This window comes from Homo sapiens, chromosome 12 (assembly GCF_000001405.40).
Source record: "Homo sapiens chromosome 12, GRCh38.p14 Primary Assembly".
Classification (NCBI taxonomy): Eukaryota; Metazoa; Chordata; class Mammalia; order Primates; family Hominidae; genus Homo; species Homo sapiens.
In genome coordinates, this window is record NC_000012.12 from 93,587,846 (window position 1) to 93,608,344 (window position 20,499).

General features: G+C 39.3%; 1 protein-coding gene across 1 annotated transcript in view, besides 1 other annotated feature; it reads left to right on the forward strand.

Moving 5' to 3' along the window:
* SOCS2 (suppressor of cytokine signaling 2) overlaps positions 1-20,499 on the forward strand; it is a 56,268-nt gene that overhangs the window by 17,877 nt on the left and 17,892 nt on the right. The window lies entirely within an intron of this gene.
* Positions 3,276-3,835: an enhancer, noted in NCBI's record as "H3K27ac-H3K4me1 hESC enhancer chr12:93984897-93985456 (GRCh37/hg19 assembly coordinates)". NCBI's record gives its function as "activates a minimal SCP1, AML or CMV promoter by ChIP-STARR-seq in naive H9 embryonic stem cells {active_cell/tissue: H9 hESC(naive)}" and the evidence as "EXISTENCE:reporter gene assay evidence [ECO:0000049][PMID:30033119]".

Here is a 20,499-nt window from a genome sequence, read left to right on the forward strand (position 1 = left end):
CTAAGTTGGTGGGCAGGGAACTGAGCACTCAGGGCTTTGCCTGCCTCTCAAAAGAGTTTGTATTTTATGTGGGAAGTGAAGGAGCTATCGAAGGCTTTTGAACAACAGAGTGACCGCATCAGATTTGGTGGCAATATGGAGGCTGCTCTGGAGGGACGTGACCTGAGATCAGGGCTTCTGAACTTTATCCCTAGACTTGCAAGGGACCCATGGATAAGATGTCTGGGATCTGTGAACTTGGATTGGAAAAAAGCGTTATACTGTCATTTTCACTATCCTCTAAACTGAAATTTAGCATTTCCTTCAAATAAGAATCTAGGCAACGGATCACAGTAGAATTAACAGAAGATGTGAGTTTATCACCAGTAGAAATGCTCTGATAGCATATTACAGTTGTTGTAGGTATTTCAAAATATCTTTTACACTTATCACTAAACTGAAATTATTATAGATATTAGACTCACTGCCATAAATTGTTACTTAATGAATTAATAAAGAACATATATAACTGTGTGACAAATATAAAAAATAATTTGATATTTACATTTTAATATAATGTATCTTTTGTTTTTATTTTATGATTTAAGCACAGTATTCTGAGAAGGGGTCCATAAAAAAAGTCAAAACTCAACACACCAGAGGATGTGAGTCAAAACTCACATCACCAAAGGAACGTGATCGTTGAGGAGGTCAGTGTAGCCTAAGGCAGCGATGGGGAGAAGGAGGAAGAGGAGTTGGAAGAATTTGTGAGAAATTCTGGAGACAGTGAATTTTTTTTTTTTTTTTTGAGCCAGAGTCTCGCTCTGTTGCCCAGAGACTAGACTGCAATGGCATGTTCTTGGCTCACTGCAATCTCCACCTCCCAGGTTCAAGCAATTCTCCTGTCTCAGCCTTCCAAGTATCTGGGACTACAGGCATGCACCACCAAGCCTAGCTAATTTTTTTTTTTTATTTTTAGTGGAGAAGGGGTTTTGCCATGTTGGCCAGGCTGGTCTTGAACTCCTGACCTCAGGTGATCCACCCGCCTCGGCCTCCCAAAGTGCTGGGATTACAGGCGTGAGCCACCGCGCCTGGCCTGACAGAGTGAATTTGTTGATAGATCAGGGACATAAAGCAGGGGTAGGGGTACGCATAGACCCCATTTCCTCCAGCAGTTTTCTGGCTGGAGCAGAATGCTTATGCTTGCCACATGTGTTCCTTTCTTCCCAGTGCTATCATTATTTACCGTACAGCATGGTTTAAAACACGGAAAACATCCATCCTTTGCTTCCCTCCTCTGTGCCTGCCAGTCCTACACCTTTCTCAACTCTTTTAGTGTTATCTTCTCCAGCTAGACTGCAGATTCTGGGCAGGCAGTGCCTTGCAGTCTGCGACCCCATCATATATTTTTCACAGTTGATGTTGAATACATGACTGATAGATTTCAAAGGCATTTCCTGTTTTGAGGTCACCATGTACACCATATTCTAGTTACAGAAATTATACCAACCTTGACATTCTGGGAATTTTTTTTTTAAATTCCCATGGGTTCTATCATTTGTCTTCTCATAAAATAATACAAAATGTGCAAATAAAAAAATCCATATGCTTGGGCTTCCTGATTGTTTTTATTAAAGTGAGTTTAGTGATGGTGGGTTAAATAATGCTGTAATCTTAAGCCAGAAATTGAGAATATGGATTTGAAATGTCCCCATTCCCTTTTTTTGTTTGTTTTTGTTTTGTTTTGTTTGCTGTTGCATGTTCTTGGCAGCAGTGGTTGATGTCAGTATTGTTGCCCATGTTGTAGACTGCAGATGTTGCAGTGTAGCTTAGTACTTTGGTTCGCTTGCTGAAATTCCTCACTGTGCTTCTTATGAGGTCCAGGAACATATAGATTTGCAGTCTGATGTATTTTGATGATTGCCAGATAAAACTGATGTCTGGCACTTTTTCCAGGAGAAACACATGTAGACGTTTCCAAGTTGATTTGTAGGGACTTAGTGTTATTAGAACTTTGTGGCAAAACTTTTTCTCAAGTGGCAGAAGAAATAAAGGAACTTCAGTTTTGAGGGCTGTTAACAGCACTTCCATTAGTGGCAAAGCTGAGATGGTTGACAAAGTACTGGATTGTTGAGATGGACCTTCCAGGCCGGGTGTGGTGGCTCACGCCTGTAATCCCAGCACTTTGGGAGGCCAAGGTGAGCGGATCATGAGGTCAGGAGTTCGAGACCAGCCTGACCAACACGATGAAACTCCATCTCTACCAAAAATACAAAAATTGGCCTGGTGTGGTGGTGCGCGCCTATAATCTCAGCTACTCAGGAGGCTTGAACCCGGTAGGTGGAGGTTGTAGTAAGCTGAGATCGCGCCACTGCACTCCAGACTGGGTGACAGAGCGAGACTCAGTCTCAAAAAAAAAAAAGAATAAGCAAGTACTGTATTTGGACTTTTAAGCATTACTGATACAGTAAAATACAGTTTTAGCTACCGACGCAAGACTAGCACCCAAGATTTTAGAAAAAGGCACTTTTTCCCTTTTATTTTCCAATAACATTTCTCAATCTGGTAACCAGAGAGACTACTCTGGGATTAATTTGAGTCTGATTGCTGTTTACTGTTCTAACAAGAACAGTTTTTTTGGAGAGGAGAGCAGAGTTTAGGAGAAACGAACTATTAAAAGTTAGCTTCCCGTATGGGCGTGGTGGCTCAGGCCTGTAATCCCAGCACTTTGGGAGGCCGAAGTGGGCGGATCACGAGGTCAGGAGATCGAGACCATCCTGGCCAACATGGTGAAACCTGTCTCTACTAAAAATACAAAAATTAGCTGGGCGTGGTGGCACGTGCCTGTAATCCCAGCTACTCCGGAGGCTGAGGCAGAAAGAATCGCTTGAACCCAGCAGGCAGAGCCGAGATGGCGCCACTGCACTCCAGCCTGGGCGACAGAGCAAGACTCCGCCTCAAAAAAAAAAAAAAAAAAAAAAAAAAAAAAAAAAAAAAAGTTAGCTTCCCAGTGTACACATGAAAAGTACAATCCTTTTCTTCATTTATATTATAATTATTTGAAGAGCAAATTAGGTATTGTTAGTGAAGAAATGAGAGTGATTACCTGGTAATATGATGAGTTACTTTTTCTTTAAACTTACTGGCTTTTCCCTTAACACTAATGGTCTGGATAACAAGTTTTTACTTGTTGGCAGTGCAGTTTAGCCTCCGAACACTCTTGGAACAAAATGACTAATTTTTTTTAACGCTTTATTGAAATATAAATTTTAGGAGAGTAAACATTTTCGATTTGGAAGAAGTAGTTACGTTACAGACCTTCAAATCCAGCTTGTTCGGGAGACTTGACATTTAATCACTAGGCTAATGAAGCGCCAGAAGAGAGAGCTTTTATGGTTAGAAAGGGAGGTGTTTTTTAAAAAAAAAACAAACGAACAAACAAAAAAAAAAAAACAAGGCTCAGCCCGAGATACTGGAAGCGACTTGACCTTGATTTACATATACAAGGAACGGAAATGAATTAGCCCGGCTAGATATTTCTAGGAACTAGTTAAGGGAGAATGAACAAGATGGGAGCGAGGAGAAAGCGTGTGTGCGTTCGTGTGTGGCTGTCTGTCTGTCTGTCTGCGGCAAGAGGAATCTCAGAGTTTCGGTTATTTCTCCTTGAAGAATTTTCAAACGGAGTTCCTGCAGGGGCTGGCTCTAGCGTCTACGATGTGCACACACTGTCTCTCAAGAGGGAAGTGATCCTGGCGCCACGGGGTGATGCAGCAGAAGTTCTTTTTGTCTGTGGCCAGGGTAGAGTGCGGAGCCCCACGGAGCTGTGGCGTGGCGGCTCCTCCCAGACGCGTCCGGGGCGCCGCTCGGGTCTCCCAGGACCTTATGTAACCCAGCGTCGGCAGCAAGGAGCCGGTCACAGGCTGACCAACGTCAAGGCGTTTCACTTTGGAAGCGCACCAGATGAGTGTGGTATTGAGAGCAGACGGCTGGGTGCAATGTTTTTGCCGCATATCTCATGGGTTATTTTAATCTTTTCACGTAGTCTTAAGGGTCTCACTAGACCGTATATGAGAATGTGGCCAGGGATGTGGCTTCTATAGATTGTCCCAGATAAGAGCATCCCTTTTGTTTTTGTTAATGCAGGGTAAATACAACCTCTTCTTAGGAGCTAGTTTTTCAATTATTCTAAAAGTGATAACATGCTCATGGTTCAAAATTTAGTCAGTTCAGAAGTGCACAAAATGAAAAAATTGTCCAACTCCCGTCCCACTCCCCAGAGGTAACTATTATTAAAAGTTTCCTTTTTATTGTTCCAGAATTTTTTTAATGCAGTCGAAGCCTCTATTTAAATCATGTTTTAAAGCACACACAAATATTATTGTACTATACTTTCTGCTCTGCAATTTGCTTTTAAAATTTAATATTTGGACTCTCTATGTCTACCTTTCTCTCTATATATCTATTTATATCTTCATGGCAACATAAGGCTTTGCCTCATTCTTTTCAACAGCTGCACAATATTCCATGATATGAATGTACCATTACTGATTGAATCAGTCTCCTGCTAGTGGATATACAGGTTGTTCCCAGTTTCGTGCTATTACAAACAACGGTGCGGTACAAATCTGTGTGCTAATTGTTGCTGTGTGCTTATGGGAACATATATGTTGAGTACATTCTTAGAAGTGGAACTTTGGGGCCCAAGGGTACATGGCACTTAACATTTTAATAGATATTTACTTTCAAATCACATTCCCAAAAGGTTGTTCCCATGCATATTTCAGATGGAAATAAATTCTGTCTTTCAAGTTGTACACATAGCTGAGGGTTTTCCTTAAAATACTGTTCATTTTTAAACAGCATATTTTCCATTGAGATCGAATAAACTTGTTTATTTGCTAATTAATTGCCCTTGAAGTTAAATCTCTATTCTAGAAAAGATGTCTGAGAAACCTAGTGGAAAGGCCTCAACAACTTCGTCCCAGCCTTGATCAGAGACATTCACAGCTATGGGACAGGCACATGGCTCTATGCCTTGACTGTGGCTTCATAGACAGCTGTCTTTAAAAACCCTAGGGTAGGACTGAGAAAGCTTTTTTTTTTTTTTTTTTTTTGGTATGTGTAATAATATCATCTTCAATTAGTTCTGTTCAAAGGACATCGATTAAGCACAACTATAGTAAAAGTTTCTCCAGTTCCCTACTCTCTGTCCCCTTATCCTGGTTTCCTGCCTTCTCTCTCCCCTTTTGTGTTTGTTTCTTTTCATACCAGTTATCCTCTGCACCCACTCCTGACACCAGATTGGGTGGCCAGTTCTAGGAACAATGAAACTGATTTCCTACAACTGGAAGGTGGTTCTGGAGAGGGAATTAGCTTTGCCTAAGATTATTATCACGCTGACCCGACTCTATATCTAGATCCTGCCTCCAGTGGGATAGCTGATCTGCTATGACTCCCAAATGCCTAAAGCTCTCCGCCTACTCAGAAACACAGCATCTTCTTTAAAGCTCCAGAAGAGAGAGCTTTTATGGTTAGAGAAGGAGGTTTAAGAAAAGCAAACAAATAGGGCTCAGCCTGAGATACTGGAAGCAACTTGACCTTGATTTACATATACAAGGAACAGAAATAAATTAGATATTAGAATTAAATTAAAATCAAATTTTAATTTAGATTTGTATAGGTAAGACCTATTACAGATGAAGCCAGATACCAAGATATGTTTCAAAAAACATGTGGTTCACATTGCTATTAAATTGTTTATAAATGATCATAGTAGCATCCCAATTACCTTTTAGATTATAGCCAACTTTTTGGGAATTACAGGACTTTTACAAGTATTTTATTTCCCAAATTACCTGCTTATCTGGAAAATAACCCTAGTAAGACCAAGCCCACTCATCCTGAAAACTCATCTTAAATGAAGCCAAGTCAAGTCAGAATAAGATCTGGGTGTCAGCAAAAAGGAAAACAAACAAACAAAAATCAAACCGAACCACGCTAAAATAAAATAAAATAAATTTCCCATTTAAAGTCTGAATCCCTTTGGCTTTGTAAGCTACTGTTACCATACAGAGGCATCTGCCTTAAAATAAAGGAAATAAATCAAGAGCGTAGAAAACCTGTTTAATCAAAACTCTTAATTTCAAATCAGTGTTTCCATAACACATTACAAGCCAGCAGGAAGAGAGGGGAGGCAAAATGTGCAGTTCCATGATGTCCCCAAATAGAATGTTCACAACTGACAGGAAGCACCTGGGGGATTATGATTATTTGCTTTAGAAATTCAAAAATAAATTGTTTTTTGAAATAAAAAGGGAAGAACAAATCGGTTTCTCAGTTCAGGTTGTTTTTAACACTTCACACACATCCATTTTTATAATCCCAATTCAGAAGACAATGAATTCAAGTTAATAATGTATTTAAATTTAAGGATAATGCAGAGAATGTCAAAATAGAAAATTGCAATAGAACAGTTGAGCTGAACTCTGAGGCTCCTTTTCTTATTTTGACTCAAGTTGACCTTCAATATTATAGTACTTTCATTTTTACAGCTCTTTACATATTCTGTAAAAAAGCTTTTAAAAAGTGAAATGAAGATGTTTCTTAACTATTAAATTTCTATTGCCTAACTCTTTTAATTTTTTGAGTCCATTAAGACTTTAGAAGATATTCTTTCTCAAATGTGTCATTTAATTAACAATTTGCTAATGGCCTTGATAGGATTTTTCCATTTTTGTTTTCCAAATCAAGAAATCTCCATGTTCCTTTTATTATTTTCACTTTGTTTCTTTAGATATAATTCTTGTTTTTCCTGGATAATTAGTATAGAATTTATTTATTGTAGAGAACTCTGTTCTGACAGCTGATAATATAAATATATGTTTGACCCACATTACTAGAAAGAATGTTATGTAAGGGAGTTTGTCAGGGAATATCAGCTCTCGAACACTGGGAGTTCAGGGAAAGAAATGAATTTGTAGGTCATTGATCTTTGTGTTTTAAATAAGAATTAACCAAGAATTTTATGGTTACATAACCAGTACATGAACTAGTTTTTACTACATTTTGTTAATACATCGAATTGAATAATCCAATTCAAAACATAGGGTACCAATTCCTCTTGTCAGCAATACTTTGAAAGTAGGGATTTATTGAGAGTTCTTTTATTGCCTTGACTTCCTTACGTTTGTAAACTATGTGATGGGTATTACACTTAGATTTATTAGGGTACTTAAAATCTTGCCAAAATGAAACAATCTCTTTTTGTCATAAGTATTGCCGACTTAAAAGCATTTGTGAGGGGACGGGGGGTGATTTTGCTTTTGGAGTCTTACTCGTTACTGAAAATAAAATATGCTCAGCTTTTTCTTTTTCTAGTAGACATTTATTTTACTGAGTTCCACACTGATAGTTAACTTTAGGAAATGCTTCACATATTTTAACTAATTTTATGATTTAATTTTTAAAAAGGAGGTACATTTTAGAATTTTTTCCCCCTTTTAGATACCTGACTTACGTGTTTCTGAAGATAAATTGCAGATCCAGTCACTATAAATTCAGTTGAAAGACCAATCTTTCTACCCTTCTTTGTTGTTCTGATTTCAGAATTCCAGGCCAGTTTGTTGTCAACTTTAATGTACCTTTTGAGAAATAAATTGAGTCTCACATTTCTTGCATGTGTTTGTGCCCCTAGAGCTGGAATGCTTTTCTTCGGCCAACTGAAAGTAGAGCCTGCTCCTTCTCCTCTCACAGATTAAATCTGCTTTCATTCGTGTTAAATTCAGTTAGTTCATGACCAAAAGAAAAGACGTGCTCTCCTTTTTCTTTTTAATTTTAAACAACCACCATCTATAGTCTTCCTGTAGTTTTTGAGAGCTTCAAGTTATATAGCTATTTTTGACTTTGTGTTTGGTTAATCTAATAGAGTCTACATTTTTGGGAGGCATTTAATTTGTGATTATCCCTTATTGTAGTCTACAGAGTCACATCAACAAAATGAGCTGTTTTATTTTATTTTACTTTACTTTCTTTTCTGGTCTTTTTGTTTTGTAATTTATTTTTAAATTTATTAATTTGTTTTTAATTTTTTTTTATGTGATTCTTCCAGCTACTTTCCAGTAGCAAATAGAGGGCAAAAACAGTCATAATTTTATTGAATTTGCCTCACCCCTGTGTTTGCCCCTGTTCCTACTTACTCACAATTTAATACTTCTCAGAACTTTCACATTTCACCTAGCATGGAAACCTGATTGTTAAATGGTTGGATAGGACAGTGTGTAGGAGAATCCTTGGGATCAATAATAGACATATTTGGGTTTATTTCACAGGTATTAGGCTGTGTTTCTTGACTTTTAGTTGAGTGCTTACTCTTGCCAAATTTTATGCCATGCACTTTACATACATTATTTGATTTAATCCCCATAACACCATGCTTGGCATGAAACCACATAGTCTGTTTACATTTTGCAGATGAAGAAACTGAGGCTCAAAGAAGGTTAAAGTAGAAAGGCATCCCTTTACTAAGTGGCAGAGCCGAGATTTGAATCAGCTTATCTGATTTTAATACCTGATTTAATATTTAATATTTGGGATCTTAAGCTATGCCATGCAGCCTGAGTTACTAACTGGGAAGTCATGGTTATATCAGATTCCTAAGATAAGACTACCAAGAGACCCAGGCCCATGCATTTGATCTCTTGAATGTTCAAAGGAAACTGCAGGGGCTGGGCACAGTGACTCACACCTGTAATCCCAGCACTTTGGGAGGCTGAGGCGGGCAGATCACATGAAGCCAGGAGTTTGAGACCAGCCTGGCTAATATGGCAAAACTCCGTCTCTACTAAAAATACAAAAATTAGCTGGGCGTGTTGGCCTGCGCCTGTAATCTCAGCTACTTGAGAGGCTGAGGCATGAGAATTGCTTGAACCTGGGAGCTGGAGGTTGCAGTGAGCCAAGATTACACCACTGCACTCTAGACTGGGAGACGGAGCAAGACCCTGTCTCAAACAAACAACAACAACAACAAAGCTGCAGGTTCTGCAGGCCTTTCTGCCCTGCACCCTCCACCACCTACTACAAATTGTCTTTCTTCTTGGGGGCCTCACTTGTCTCATCTGTAAAATAGAAGTATTATTTCATGTGGTCTATATCTCTCCTTTAAAAGAACACATTTTTAAAAATTTCAAAAGAATTATAGATCTCAAAGGAAGTTGTGGAGATAGTACAGAGAAGGCCTGTGTACCTGTCACCCAGTTTCCCCCCAGTGGTTGGCTACATCTTTTGTAACTATAGCACAAGTAAACCAGAAAACTGATCTTGGTATAAAGTGTTTGTGTAGTTCTGTGCCATTTTATTACCTGTAGATTGGCGTAACCACCACTGAAATCAGGATACAGAACTATCATTACAAAGATCTCCTTTGTGCTACCCATTTATAGTGACTCCCACATTCCTAACCCTTTGCAGCTGCTGATTTGTTACCTATCACTATAATTTTATCATTTCAAATCCCTTTTTTTTTTGAGACACAGTCTTGCTCTGTTGCCCAGGCATGATCTCAGCTCACTGCAAAACCTCCTTCTCCTGGGTTCAAGCAATTCTCCTGCCTCAGCCTCCTGAGTAGCTTGGACTACAGTTGTGCGCCACCACACCCGCCTAATTTCTGTATTTTCAGTAGAGATGGGGCTTTGCCATGTTGGCCAGGCTGGTCTCAAACTCGTGACCTCAAGCGATCCACCCACCTCAGACTCCCAAAGTGCTGAGATTACAGGTGTGAGCCGCCATGCCCGAACTCAAATCTCGCTTTTAAAAAATAATTTTTTGTATTATGAAATAGCTCATCAGAAAAGTACAGGGAATATTGTAACAATACTTATGTAATCACCACTCAGCCATAACAGATAGCCAGATTTAATAAATATTGTTGTACTTCCTTTGCTGATTTATTTTAAGGCATCTTTGTCCTACTTTTTGACCCTACTGACCTCCTACCCTCCCTAGAGATAAACTCTACCCAAAAGTTATTGTATATCCTTCCTGTCCATGTTTTTTCTGTTTCACTGCATAACTAGGTGTCTACAAACACTATGTAGTTTAGCTTTGTAGGTTTTAAAAATTCACATAAGTCAACAAATATATATTGAGTGCCTACTGTGTGCTAGACCTCAGGAATATGGTAGTGAACAAGGCAAATCTTTTGTTCTAAATATGTAAACATTTGAATACATGAGATAATTGCAGGCATCTGTAACTGTGTGAAAATGATAATATAGGATATCAGACTGGCAGGGAAAGTGGGGAAGTGAGGGGATTGGCAGGGCACCGAGGAAACACGTTGCTGACGATACTGTGTTTTCGATCAAAACCTGATTGATGAGAAGGAAGAGCAAGTGTTGATGCCTTAACGTAAGGATGAGTTTGGTTTGTACAAGGAAGGGCAACAAGCACAATGTGGCTGGAACAGTGTAGACTCCAGGGAGGAAGTAGGAGATGAGCTCAGAGGGGTAGAAGGTGAAGGTGGGAGGAGAGGGGGAGATTAGGAAGGACCAAAGAGATGGCACCGAGGAGTTTGGGTTTTATTAAGGCTGCAGTGGGAAGCCATTGAAAGGTATAAGCAGGGTCATGCCATAGTTATGATATAGGGGATGGCATAAAAGGCATTCAAGTGAGAAGAGTTAGGACGCTGTTTCCATTTTCCAGGGAAGAACTCAACCAGAGGGATGGTGATACCTTCTATTAAGATAGAAAGACTTGATATTGATTTATCTGTCTGGATTTGCCTGAAGGATTCAACATTGTTTCAAAATTTACTTATGTTGATACTTTTAGATAAAGTTAACTCATTTTCATTGCTATGTATATTCCAATCTATGAGTACAGTATAACAAATTTTCTTTATCTATTAATTTACTTATTAGTAGATGTTAAAGAAATTCTAGCTTTTTTACTCCTGTACACAATTCTGCCAAAGCATCCTTACATAGAGAGGTTTGTGGATAGGATACTAGAGTTTCTCTGGAGTGTATATCTAGCAATAGAATTGCTGGGGTCTTTTTGATATGCTCATTGTCAACTTTGTCAGATAGTTCAAAATTGCTCTCCAAAGAGGTTGTACCAATTATTGTCCCTAGTGCCTAGCTGTTTATGAGAATTTCCATTTCCTCACCTCCTCAACAGTTAGTGTTAAGCTTTTAACCATTGCTGATCTGATGGATTTAAAATCATATGTCATTGTTATAATTTGCATTTCCTGCTTACTAGTCACTATTTTTTTTGACCATTTAGATTTAGATTTCTTTTCTAATTCCTATTCCTGTCCTATGTCCAGTTTGCTGTTGTGCTGTTTGTCTTTTTTTTTTTTTTTTTTTGAGACAGGGTCTCACTTTGTGGTCCAGGGTGAAGTGCTTACGGTAACTTCAAACTCAGGCTCAAGCAATCCTCCTGCCCCAGCCTCCCAAGTGGCTGGAACTACAGGCATGCACCACCACTCCTGGCTAGTTTTTAATTTTAATTTTTATTTGTATAGATGGGGTCTTGCAATGTTGCCCAGGCTGGTCTTGAATTCCTGGCCTCAAGTGATCCTCCCACTTTGGCCTCCCAAAGCGCTAGGATTACAGGCATGAGCCACTGTGCCCAGGCTGTTTATTCTTTTTGAGTTATAGGATTTCTTTACATATTCCAGGTAAACAATCCTTCGTTGGATTTTAAGCATTGATATATACATTGAAAAAACCTTTGTTGGCTTTTATGCACTACTGTGGTTTGAATGTATCCCCCAGAGTTAATCCCCAGTGCAACAGTGTTGAGGAGAGGTGGGACCTTTAATAGATGATTAGGTCATGAGGGCTCTGCCTTCTTAAATGGATTAATGTAGTTATAATGAGAGCGAGTTTATTATTTCAAGAGTGGGTTTGTTATAAAAGCAAGTTTGGCTTTCTCTTGCTCTCTTGCACATGCATGCTGTCTTGCTCTTTTGCCTTCTACTGTAAGATGATGTAGCAAGAAGGCCCTTGCCAGATGCTGGCACCTAGATATTAGATTTCCCAGCCCATAGAAGTGTGAGAAATAAAATTCTTCATATGTTACCCTGCCTCAGGTATTGTGTTATAGCAACACAAAATGGACTAAGACATGCACTGAAATAATTTTGTCTTCCAGTTTTAGCTTGTCTTTTCACTGTTTAAAGTAATGCTTTACATTTACAATATTACTGTAGTCAGATTTACCAATCTTATTCTTTACATTTTGTGTTTTCCTACCCTGTCATAAATATATTCAAGTTGTGCTTTTCACTTTAGTTGTTGAATTCACCTGAAAAAAAAATTAATAAATGGAGATAAAGGTATAGATTTAAAAAAAATTATTTTTCTTTTCTTTATGGAAAATGAACTAACCCAGTACCACTTATTGAACAGTCTTTTCCTTTCCCTACTGATTTTTAATGTTACCTTTGTAATATATCAAGTTTTCCATAAGCATGGGTCTGTTTATGAGCTCACTATTCTGTTCTGCTCTTCTATTTGTCCGTCTCCACACCAGTGCCATTCTTTTGTAATTACTATAGCTTTATAATAACTTTGCTATCTAGTGTGGTGAGTGGTTTTTGTTTATTCTTCTGTGTTATCTTGGCCATTTTTGATTCTTTACTCTTTGATACTAGCTTAAGGATCAACTTGTCAAATGCTGTGATGGGAAAATGTATAGATTTTAATTGTAATTACAATGAATTTATAGATTAATCTGAAAACAATTGCCATCTTTGAGCTTTTCCATCCCATACATGAACATGAATATCCTTTCATTTATAGAGATTTTTTTATGTACCTCAATCAAGCTTCACTTCATAATGATCTTGTATTTCCTTTGTTAAATCTGTTTATAAGTTACGTAAAGTTTTTTTTTTTTACTATTGTTAATGGAATCTTTTAAAATTTTGATTAAATAAAACATTTTATTATTTATTATTTTCATTTTTTTTTTTTTAGAGATGAGGTCTTGATCTGTCACCCGGGCTGGAGTGCAGTGACGTGATCATGGCTCACTGACGACTTAACCTCCTGGGCTCAAGGGGTCCTTTTGCTTCAGCCTCCCAAGTAGCTGGGACTACGATTGTGCATCACCACACCTGACTAATTTTTTTAAATTTTTTGTAGAGACAGGGTTTTGCTAAATTGCCCAAGCTGGCCTTGAACTCTTGCGCTCAAGTTATTCTCCTGCCTCGACCCCTGAAAGTGTTGGGATTATGGGTGTGAGCCACCTTGCCTGGCTGGAATCTCTCTCTCTCTCTTTTTTTTTTTTTTAAATATACCTTCTGTTAGTTTTGTGCTGGTATATGGGATCACTATTGATTTTTGGATATTCATTTGTATCCAGCGACCTTTCTGAATTCTTACTAATTCTAATAGTTTGTCTGAAGAGTCTGGAGTTTTTAAAAATTTCATATTTATTTATTTATTATTATTACTTTTTTGAGACTGAGTCTTGGTCTGTCACCCAAGCTGGAGTGCAGCGGTGTGGTCTCGGCTCACTGCAACCTCCGCCTCCTGGGTTCAAGGGATTTTCCATCCTTAGCCTCCCAAGTAGCTGGGATTACAGGCGCCCACCACCATGGCCGGCTTTTCAGTAGAGACTGGGTTTCATCATGTTGGCCAGGCTGTTGTATTTTTTGTAGAGACTGGATTTCACCATGTTGGCCAGGTTGGTCTCGAACTCCTGAACTCAAGTGATCTGCCCGCCTCAGCCTCCCAAAGTGCTGGGATTACAGGCGAGAGCCACAGCGCCTGGCCAAAGTCTGGATTTTTTAAATGTATTTGTTCATATTGCTTATAAGTAGCTATTAGTTTTCTCAAAGAACGAGCATTTAGATAATCTCTTTAAGTCTCTCTTCCAAACTCTGTGATATATGATTCTATTCAGTGCTTTTGTATCTATATATGGGTAAAAATTAAGCATGACCACTCATTCTTGGTACATTGCACAATATCTTGATGCATTATACAACTGTCTTTTTTTTATTCCTGCTTCCTATTCCTGTCTCTATTGAATTTACTAGAAAATTTTCACATAAACTTAGATTAAGATTTTAAAAATATATAGCAAAAGTAAAAATCTTTAAGAGATTTAACAACCTTATATCACTTGCTGATGACCATCAGCATGTACAGTTACTGACAGTGTGTGACTATAGACTCAAACACATTCTAGACATATTACAGATTGCAAGATGGGGCCAAGAAAAAACAAGAAAAAGAGAATTATGTCAGTCCTTAGTATTTGTTTGTTTTTTTAAATACAAGGGCTTGCTGGGTCGGCCAGGCTGGAGTGCAGTGGCGCGATCACAGCTGCCTGAAGCCTCCATCTCCAGGGCTCAAGCAATCCTTCTGCCTCAGCTTATCCTAGACTACAGGTGTGTGCCACTCCACCTGGCTAACTTTTTTAAAAATTTTTATTTTTAGTAGAGACGAGGTCTCACTATGTTGCTCAGGCTGTTCTCGAACTCCTGAGGTCAAACAATCCTCCTGCCTTGGCCTTTCAAGGTACTGGGATTACAGGCATAAGCCACTGTCACTGGCCAATCCTCAGTATTTGTAGCATATACATACACATGAAAACCACACATATGAATGTATGTGTATGTATAAAGTCATGTGACCTGTACAACATATCGGCATGAGAATGTGTGAACGTGCTTCCTGTTCACATGTACTCCAGGAAATGGAACCAGTTTCCAATTAAGATTCAAAGGTATATGACAGGTCTACAAGAGACTTTGGGAGATATTATTTCAGAGTTGAGTCCACTTCACCAGGCCTTTCAGACCAGGAGTGGCTCAAATTTGGGTAGTACTCACCACTTAGGATTATGGTCAGGGCAGTTCACAGGGTGCTTCGTAACAAAACTCCCCTTCACTTCTCAGCTCCCAGGAAAGAAGGGGGCTCTTTCCTGCCTCAGAGCCCTGCATTCTGTAATCCACTAAGATACTCACCTTGACTCTGCGAGGAGAGGGTGGTGACAGGGAAAACACAGAAGTCAGTGAACTCATACAACTCACAGCCAGGTTGTCATCTGGGTCCTTTCCATCTTTGTAGTTTTCTAGGTGAAGTAGCTGACAAAGGGCCTGGCCTAGAGAGCGCTGCTGGGCCTGCTTTACTGGGTTGTCCAAACTTCCCTGGAGTGAGGTCCATTCAAGATGTGGGCTCAACTAAGAGGAAGTTACCAGACTATTTAGTCCACTGCCGAACCTTGGTCCGAGACCAAGTCGTAGCTGTTCCCCGAAGCTATGAGAGTAAACACTGCCTCCTATTTTTAGTAGTTAATTGCTTGCAAAAAATAGCTGGAAATCCAGACCTTTAAGTCTCAGCAGCCTTTAGCTTCACAGACCGTCCTGTGGCAACAACAATCTTAACAACAACAGTAAAAAAACCACTAACACTTACCTGGGGTCACTGTGTGCAGGGCCTTGTGCTATATGCATTGTTTTGTTTAATCCTCAGACTGAGTGGTCATTGTTATTATCCCTATTTTTTTAGGTGGGAAAAAGAAGACTCAAAAAGGTTAGGCCCTCTGCCTCAAGTCACACAGCCCTTCAGAAGCAGAACCAAGCCCAGTCCAAGTTAGTACAGCCTAAGGCTACAGCCTACGGTTTTGACCACTTCTCTTTCCCACCTTTCCACATCCCATAATGGCATCCATGGTGGGATGTTTATTACATGGATCTGGTCCAGTTTCCTCAAAGCACTTTCGTTGATAAACTGGACTCAATCAAGTTAAATAAACAAGAGATTATTACCTTTATTATTTTTTTTAAAGCCATTAGATTTACAAGTTACCTTGTCTTCCTCCTCATGTTCCCTTTTTTACAGAGAAACCCGGTATTTTTCCAGTGCAGTATTATTTGGGGTAATGCTTGACAATTTAAAGGGCACGCAGCAGTTGTGTGGAATGTAGTCTGAAAATGGCCAATAAAACCATCAGAGTATGAGCAAGCTCCAGGGTGGAACCAGAAATGTGGCCGCCTGCTCCTTGGGCTGATTGCTTTAGCAGAAAAATCAAGTTCAGGATCCTGTGTTTACTGAGATGATTGGCATGTATTATCAGAGTAGCTGCACCTGGAAGATTTCCGACTTAAATCTATTGACTTCATGTAAATGGCATATGGAAAACAACAAATGATAGTTTGGTTGCCAAATAAAAGTACACAGAACACCCACATGGAGGCAACATGCTTGTTTCTATTTTGACAGCTCTCAGAGGGAAAACGTTGCGGTGTTGGCCTCTTCCTGGTGAGTCCTCATTGGGTATATGGGTATAAAAAAGCTTTGAAACATCCTTTGCTCCTACTCTTCTGCACTCATAGATTCTCAAAAAAACAAACAAAACAAAACAAAAAAAACAAGAAAAATAGTTTTTCTCACTGTTAATCCTCTGATGTGGAAAGAATGTGAAAAGCAGACGACATTCTTACATGAATAAGCCATATATAAATGAAATATTGGGCAATGCCTATTTAAAAAAATTAACACCCAATAATCTGCATTTTTATTCCCCAGACCAAGCAGAAATGATTCATTTTATCCTAATCTAATATTTTTATGCTTGAGTTTTATTGTTCAAATTAACAACAAAAACTACAATAAAAATGTAGTTTTGTCAGAAGAATGATTTTATAGGCACAGTTATGCCTGCCAAATATACCTAAACTCAATGTTTTAAGAAAAAAAACTGTGGTGGGTATTTTAGAAAGTTAGACTTACATTCGTAAAGTGTTTGGTCACCTATTAACATATGAGCAAGTTCAGAATTTTTGCATGTTGGGTTTTTTCTTTTTCTTTGCTTTTATTTATTTATGTTTTTTTGAGACAGGGTTTCGTTTTGTCGCCCAAGCTGGAGTGTAGTGGTGCGATCACAGCTCACTGTAGCTTTGACCTCCCGGGCTCTAGTGATCCTCCCTCCTCAGCCCCCATCGTAGCTGGGATACAGGTGCACGGCCCCACACCTGGCTGATATTTTTTTCTTTTTTGTAGAGACAGGGTCCCACTATGTTGCCCAGGCTGGTGTCAAACTCCTGGTTTCAAGCGATCCTCCTGCCTTGGCCCCCGCAAAGTGCTAGGATTACAGGTGTCAGCCACTGTGCCGGCCTGGATTTTTTTTTTTTTTAAGTTGATTGCTCACATGTATAGGGTAAAATTTTTAGGAAATAAGCAGCCATGCCCACTCCCCACTCCTGCCCCAGTAGTCTTGTAATGTTATATGTCAAAGCAGCTCTCAGTGCTTTTACATTTTCTTACTTTTAATTTAAAATTGTGTTTATAATGTATTTCAAATATACAAAAAGCACAGAGCACAGTAATTACCAATGCCACCACCACCACCCACATTTAACAAGGATAGTTGTTGCGGCTTGTCTTTATCGCTCTCTTAAACGAGCAAGTTGCCGAGTGTTACACACACTATATAACTAACGTATATAAGATAAGAAATTACCCCAAAGTCTACTATGTATTGCTTATGGATACTTATACTTCTTAAGACATAAATACACAATGGGGAAAATACTTAACCACTCCTGAAGGGCCATTACCTGTCAGAAATTGGGTGGATGAGGCCAGGGGCTTCAACCATACCTGTGAAGCCTTATTTTTAAAAAAAGTCATCTGAGGTGAATATGGGAAATGTTAATAGTTGTTGATCCCTGGAGATTTTCAGTGTAAAGCATATGGTGAGACAGTTTGACTCTTCAAGCAGAAACTGGTCCCTTAGAAATGCACCTCCTCCGCCAATCAGGCACATTTGTAATTAACAAAAAGGAATTATGTGAAATGACTACAAGTGGATGCCTCCTGCATGCATTTCTATGGTATGAATATCACTTGAGTCAGGTAATGGGGAAAAAACAAATGTAAAAGAAAGGGAGCAGGGAAAGGAAATGTACTTCAAATTGTGTCCTTCCTAATTTTATTCTGTCTGACACTCTTCTGAGGGGCAGTAGAGGCAGAATTCATAACCTCCACCATCATCTTCATAATTGATATTTACTGAGTTCTTTATAATGTGTCTGTCATTGCCAAGTACTTTACTTCAGATATTAGACAGGGTATAGTTTCATATGCCTGAACAGAGACCCAAAGTAACAGCAGCTTAAACAAGATAGAATTTTATTTCTCACTCACATGACAGTCTGGACATATGTAGTCCATGACTGATATGATGGTTCCACGTGGGTCAAGGATCCAAGCTCCTCCTATCTTGTTGCTCTGCTCTTCCTAGAGTATCGCCCTTTTACTCATGACCCAAAATGGCTCTTGACTCTCCACTACAACATCTAGTTGTTGTTTATATTTCACTGGCCAGAATTTAATCATGTGAGTGCATCTGGCTGCAAGGAAAGCTGGGAAATTTGGTCTTTGTTCTGCACAGCTATGGATGGCAGCCATAAAAATTGGGGTTCTATTCCTGTAGAAGGAGAAGAGATGGATATTGAGGGCCACTAGAAGTGCCACAAGTGGATAGTTTCTATTAATCCTTCTGACACTAGGAGTCAAGCCCAAGTTACCCCATTCAACACATCAGAAAAAGACTAGGTCAAATGCTGTAGGTCACACAGTTAATACTTTGTGGAACTGCTGAGGTGTGGCTTTATTTTTGTTCCTTTTTGCTTTTGCATCTAGTTTGCTGAGAAGCTCTAATACTAGGATCAGGGCTGAGAGTTCTTGGCCTCCTTGGGATTACCATACCTCATCAGTGTTTGCTTGATTTCATCACACCTTTTAAAACAATTATCCAGCAAGGCACTTTGTGGTGTGTTCTTTAGAGTTGAAAACAAGCACACATTTAATTGTTTTTGTTTTTGGGACAGGGTCTCGCTCTGTCACCCAGGCTGGAGTGCAATGGTGCAATCTTGGCTCACTGCAACCTCTGCCTCCCAGGTTCAAGTGATCCTCCTGCCTCAGCCTCCTGAGCAGCTGGGACTATAGGTGCCCACCACCACACCCAGCTAATTTTTGTATTTTTAGTAGAAATGGGGCTTTGCCATGTTGGTCAGGCTGGTCTTGAACTCCTGGCCTCAAGTGATCCACATGCCTTGGCCTCCCAAAATGCTGACCTTACAGGCGTGAGCTACCACAACCGACCCATTTAATTTTGTTCAAGGAATTCTGTGACACTTATTTAGCAGTGGGTAGTACATTTGGGTGTTGCCTAATCAGAACTGGGGACCTAGACCAGGGAAATATCATTCTATAGTTTGATTCAGATTATACCTGGCTTCTGGTTAGGCTAGAATATGTGCTCCCAAAATCTTTTAAATAAGGACATCCTTTAATAAAATATGTGTTCTTTTTCTATAACATCTTTTTCTGAGCCCTATCTTGAGACCATAGACTATCTCCTACATATTAATAAAAGATGGCAGATTTTCTAGGAATGGTTTTATTTGAAGGAGAAAAAAGTAGCATTGAAACCAGCTTTTGCTTTTCTACATCCTCCAACCACTGGCATCTTCCATGAAACACAATTTGATAAGGGAGTGATCCCTTTTTTCCACTCAGAGTACAATTTCCAAGAGATGGCATGTGCTGAAAACAAAACTTAAAAAGGGAACCTGGTTCCTGAGAGTTCACATTTGACATTTTTCAAGGTCATGCCAGATAAAAAGGATACACCCCAGGAAGAAGAACACAAGATACCTGCTGTAGCCCTCTGCCTTTGGAAACGTTAAAATTGAAGTCATTGCATGGTGCAATACTGGAGTAAGGAATAGGGTGAGGCAAATGAGGCATTCACTCCTGACAGCAAAATTCACAGGGGTGCCAAGCAAAATTCACAGGGATGCCAAACCCTTTGTAATCAAAATCAATACTATTTTAATGCAATAGTTGAAACTTCATGACGAGCAAATATCAATATTTTAAATAAAAATACGCTGTCATTTGTTTGTTTTACCATTCTGCATCATCGTGTGATGGGAACAGTCATTTCCAGTCAGCCTGAGGGTCCTGGCCCCCTGGAATACCCCTCACTGTGTGGATTTATGAGGATTGACAATTGTGAGAACAGACTGTATGATGTGGGGCTTTATTACAGTTACGGCTTCTAAAAAATTTATTCTCAACTTTATGGAAGAAAATTAGTCTGTCAACTAAATTTTGTTTTTAGTAGTTATGGATTTTGACTGTAAATCTTTTTTTTTTTTTTTTTTTGAGACAGGGCATCATTTATCACCCAGGCTGGAATGCAGTGGTGCAATCATAACTCGCTGCAGCCTTGATCTCCTGAGCTCAAGTGATCCTCCTGCCTCAAACTCCTCAAACTCCATGTGCCAACATGCCTGGCCCTTTTTTTGTTTTTTGGTTTTTTTTTTGGTAATGACAGGGTCTTGTTACATTGGCCAGGCTGGTCTCGAACTCCTGTCCTCAAGTGATTCTCCCACCTTGGCCTCCCAAACTGTTGAGATTACAGGCATGAACCACCATACTTGGCAATGTTAAGCTTTTATTAATTTTTCTCACTTGGCTAAAAATACAG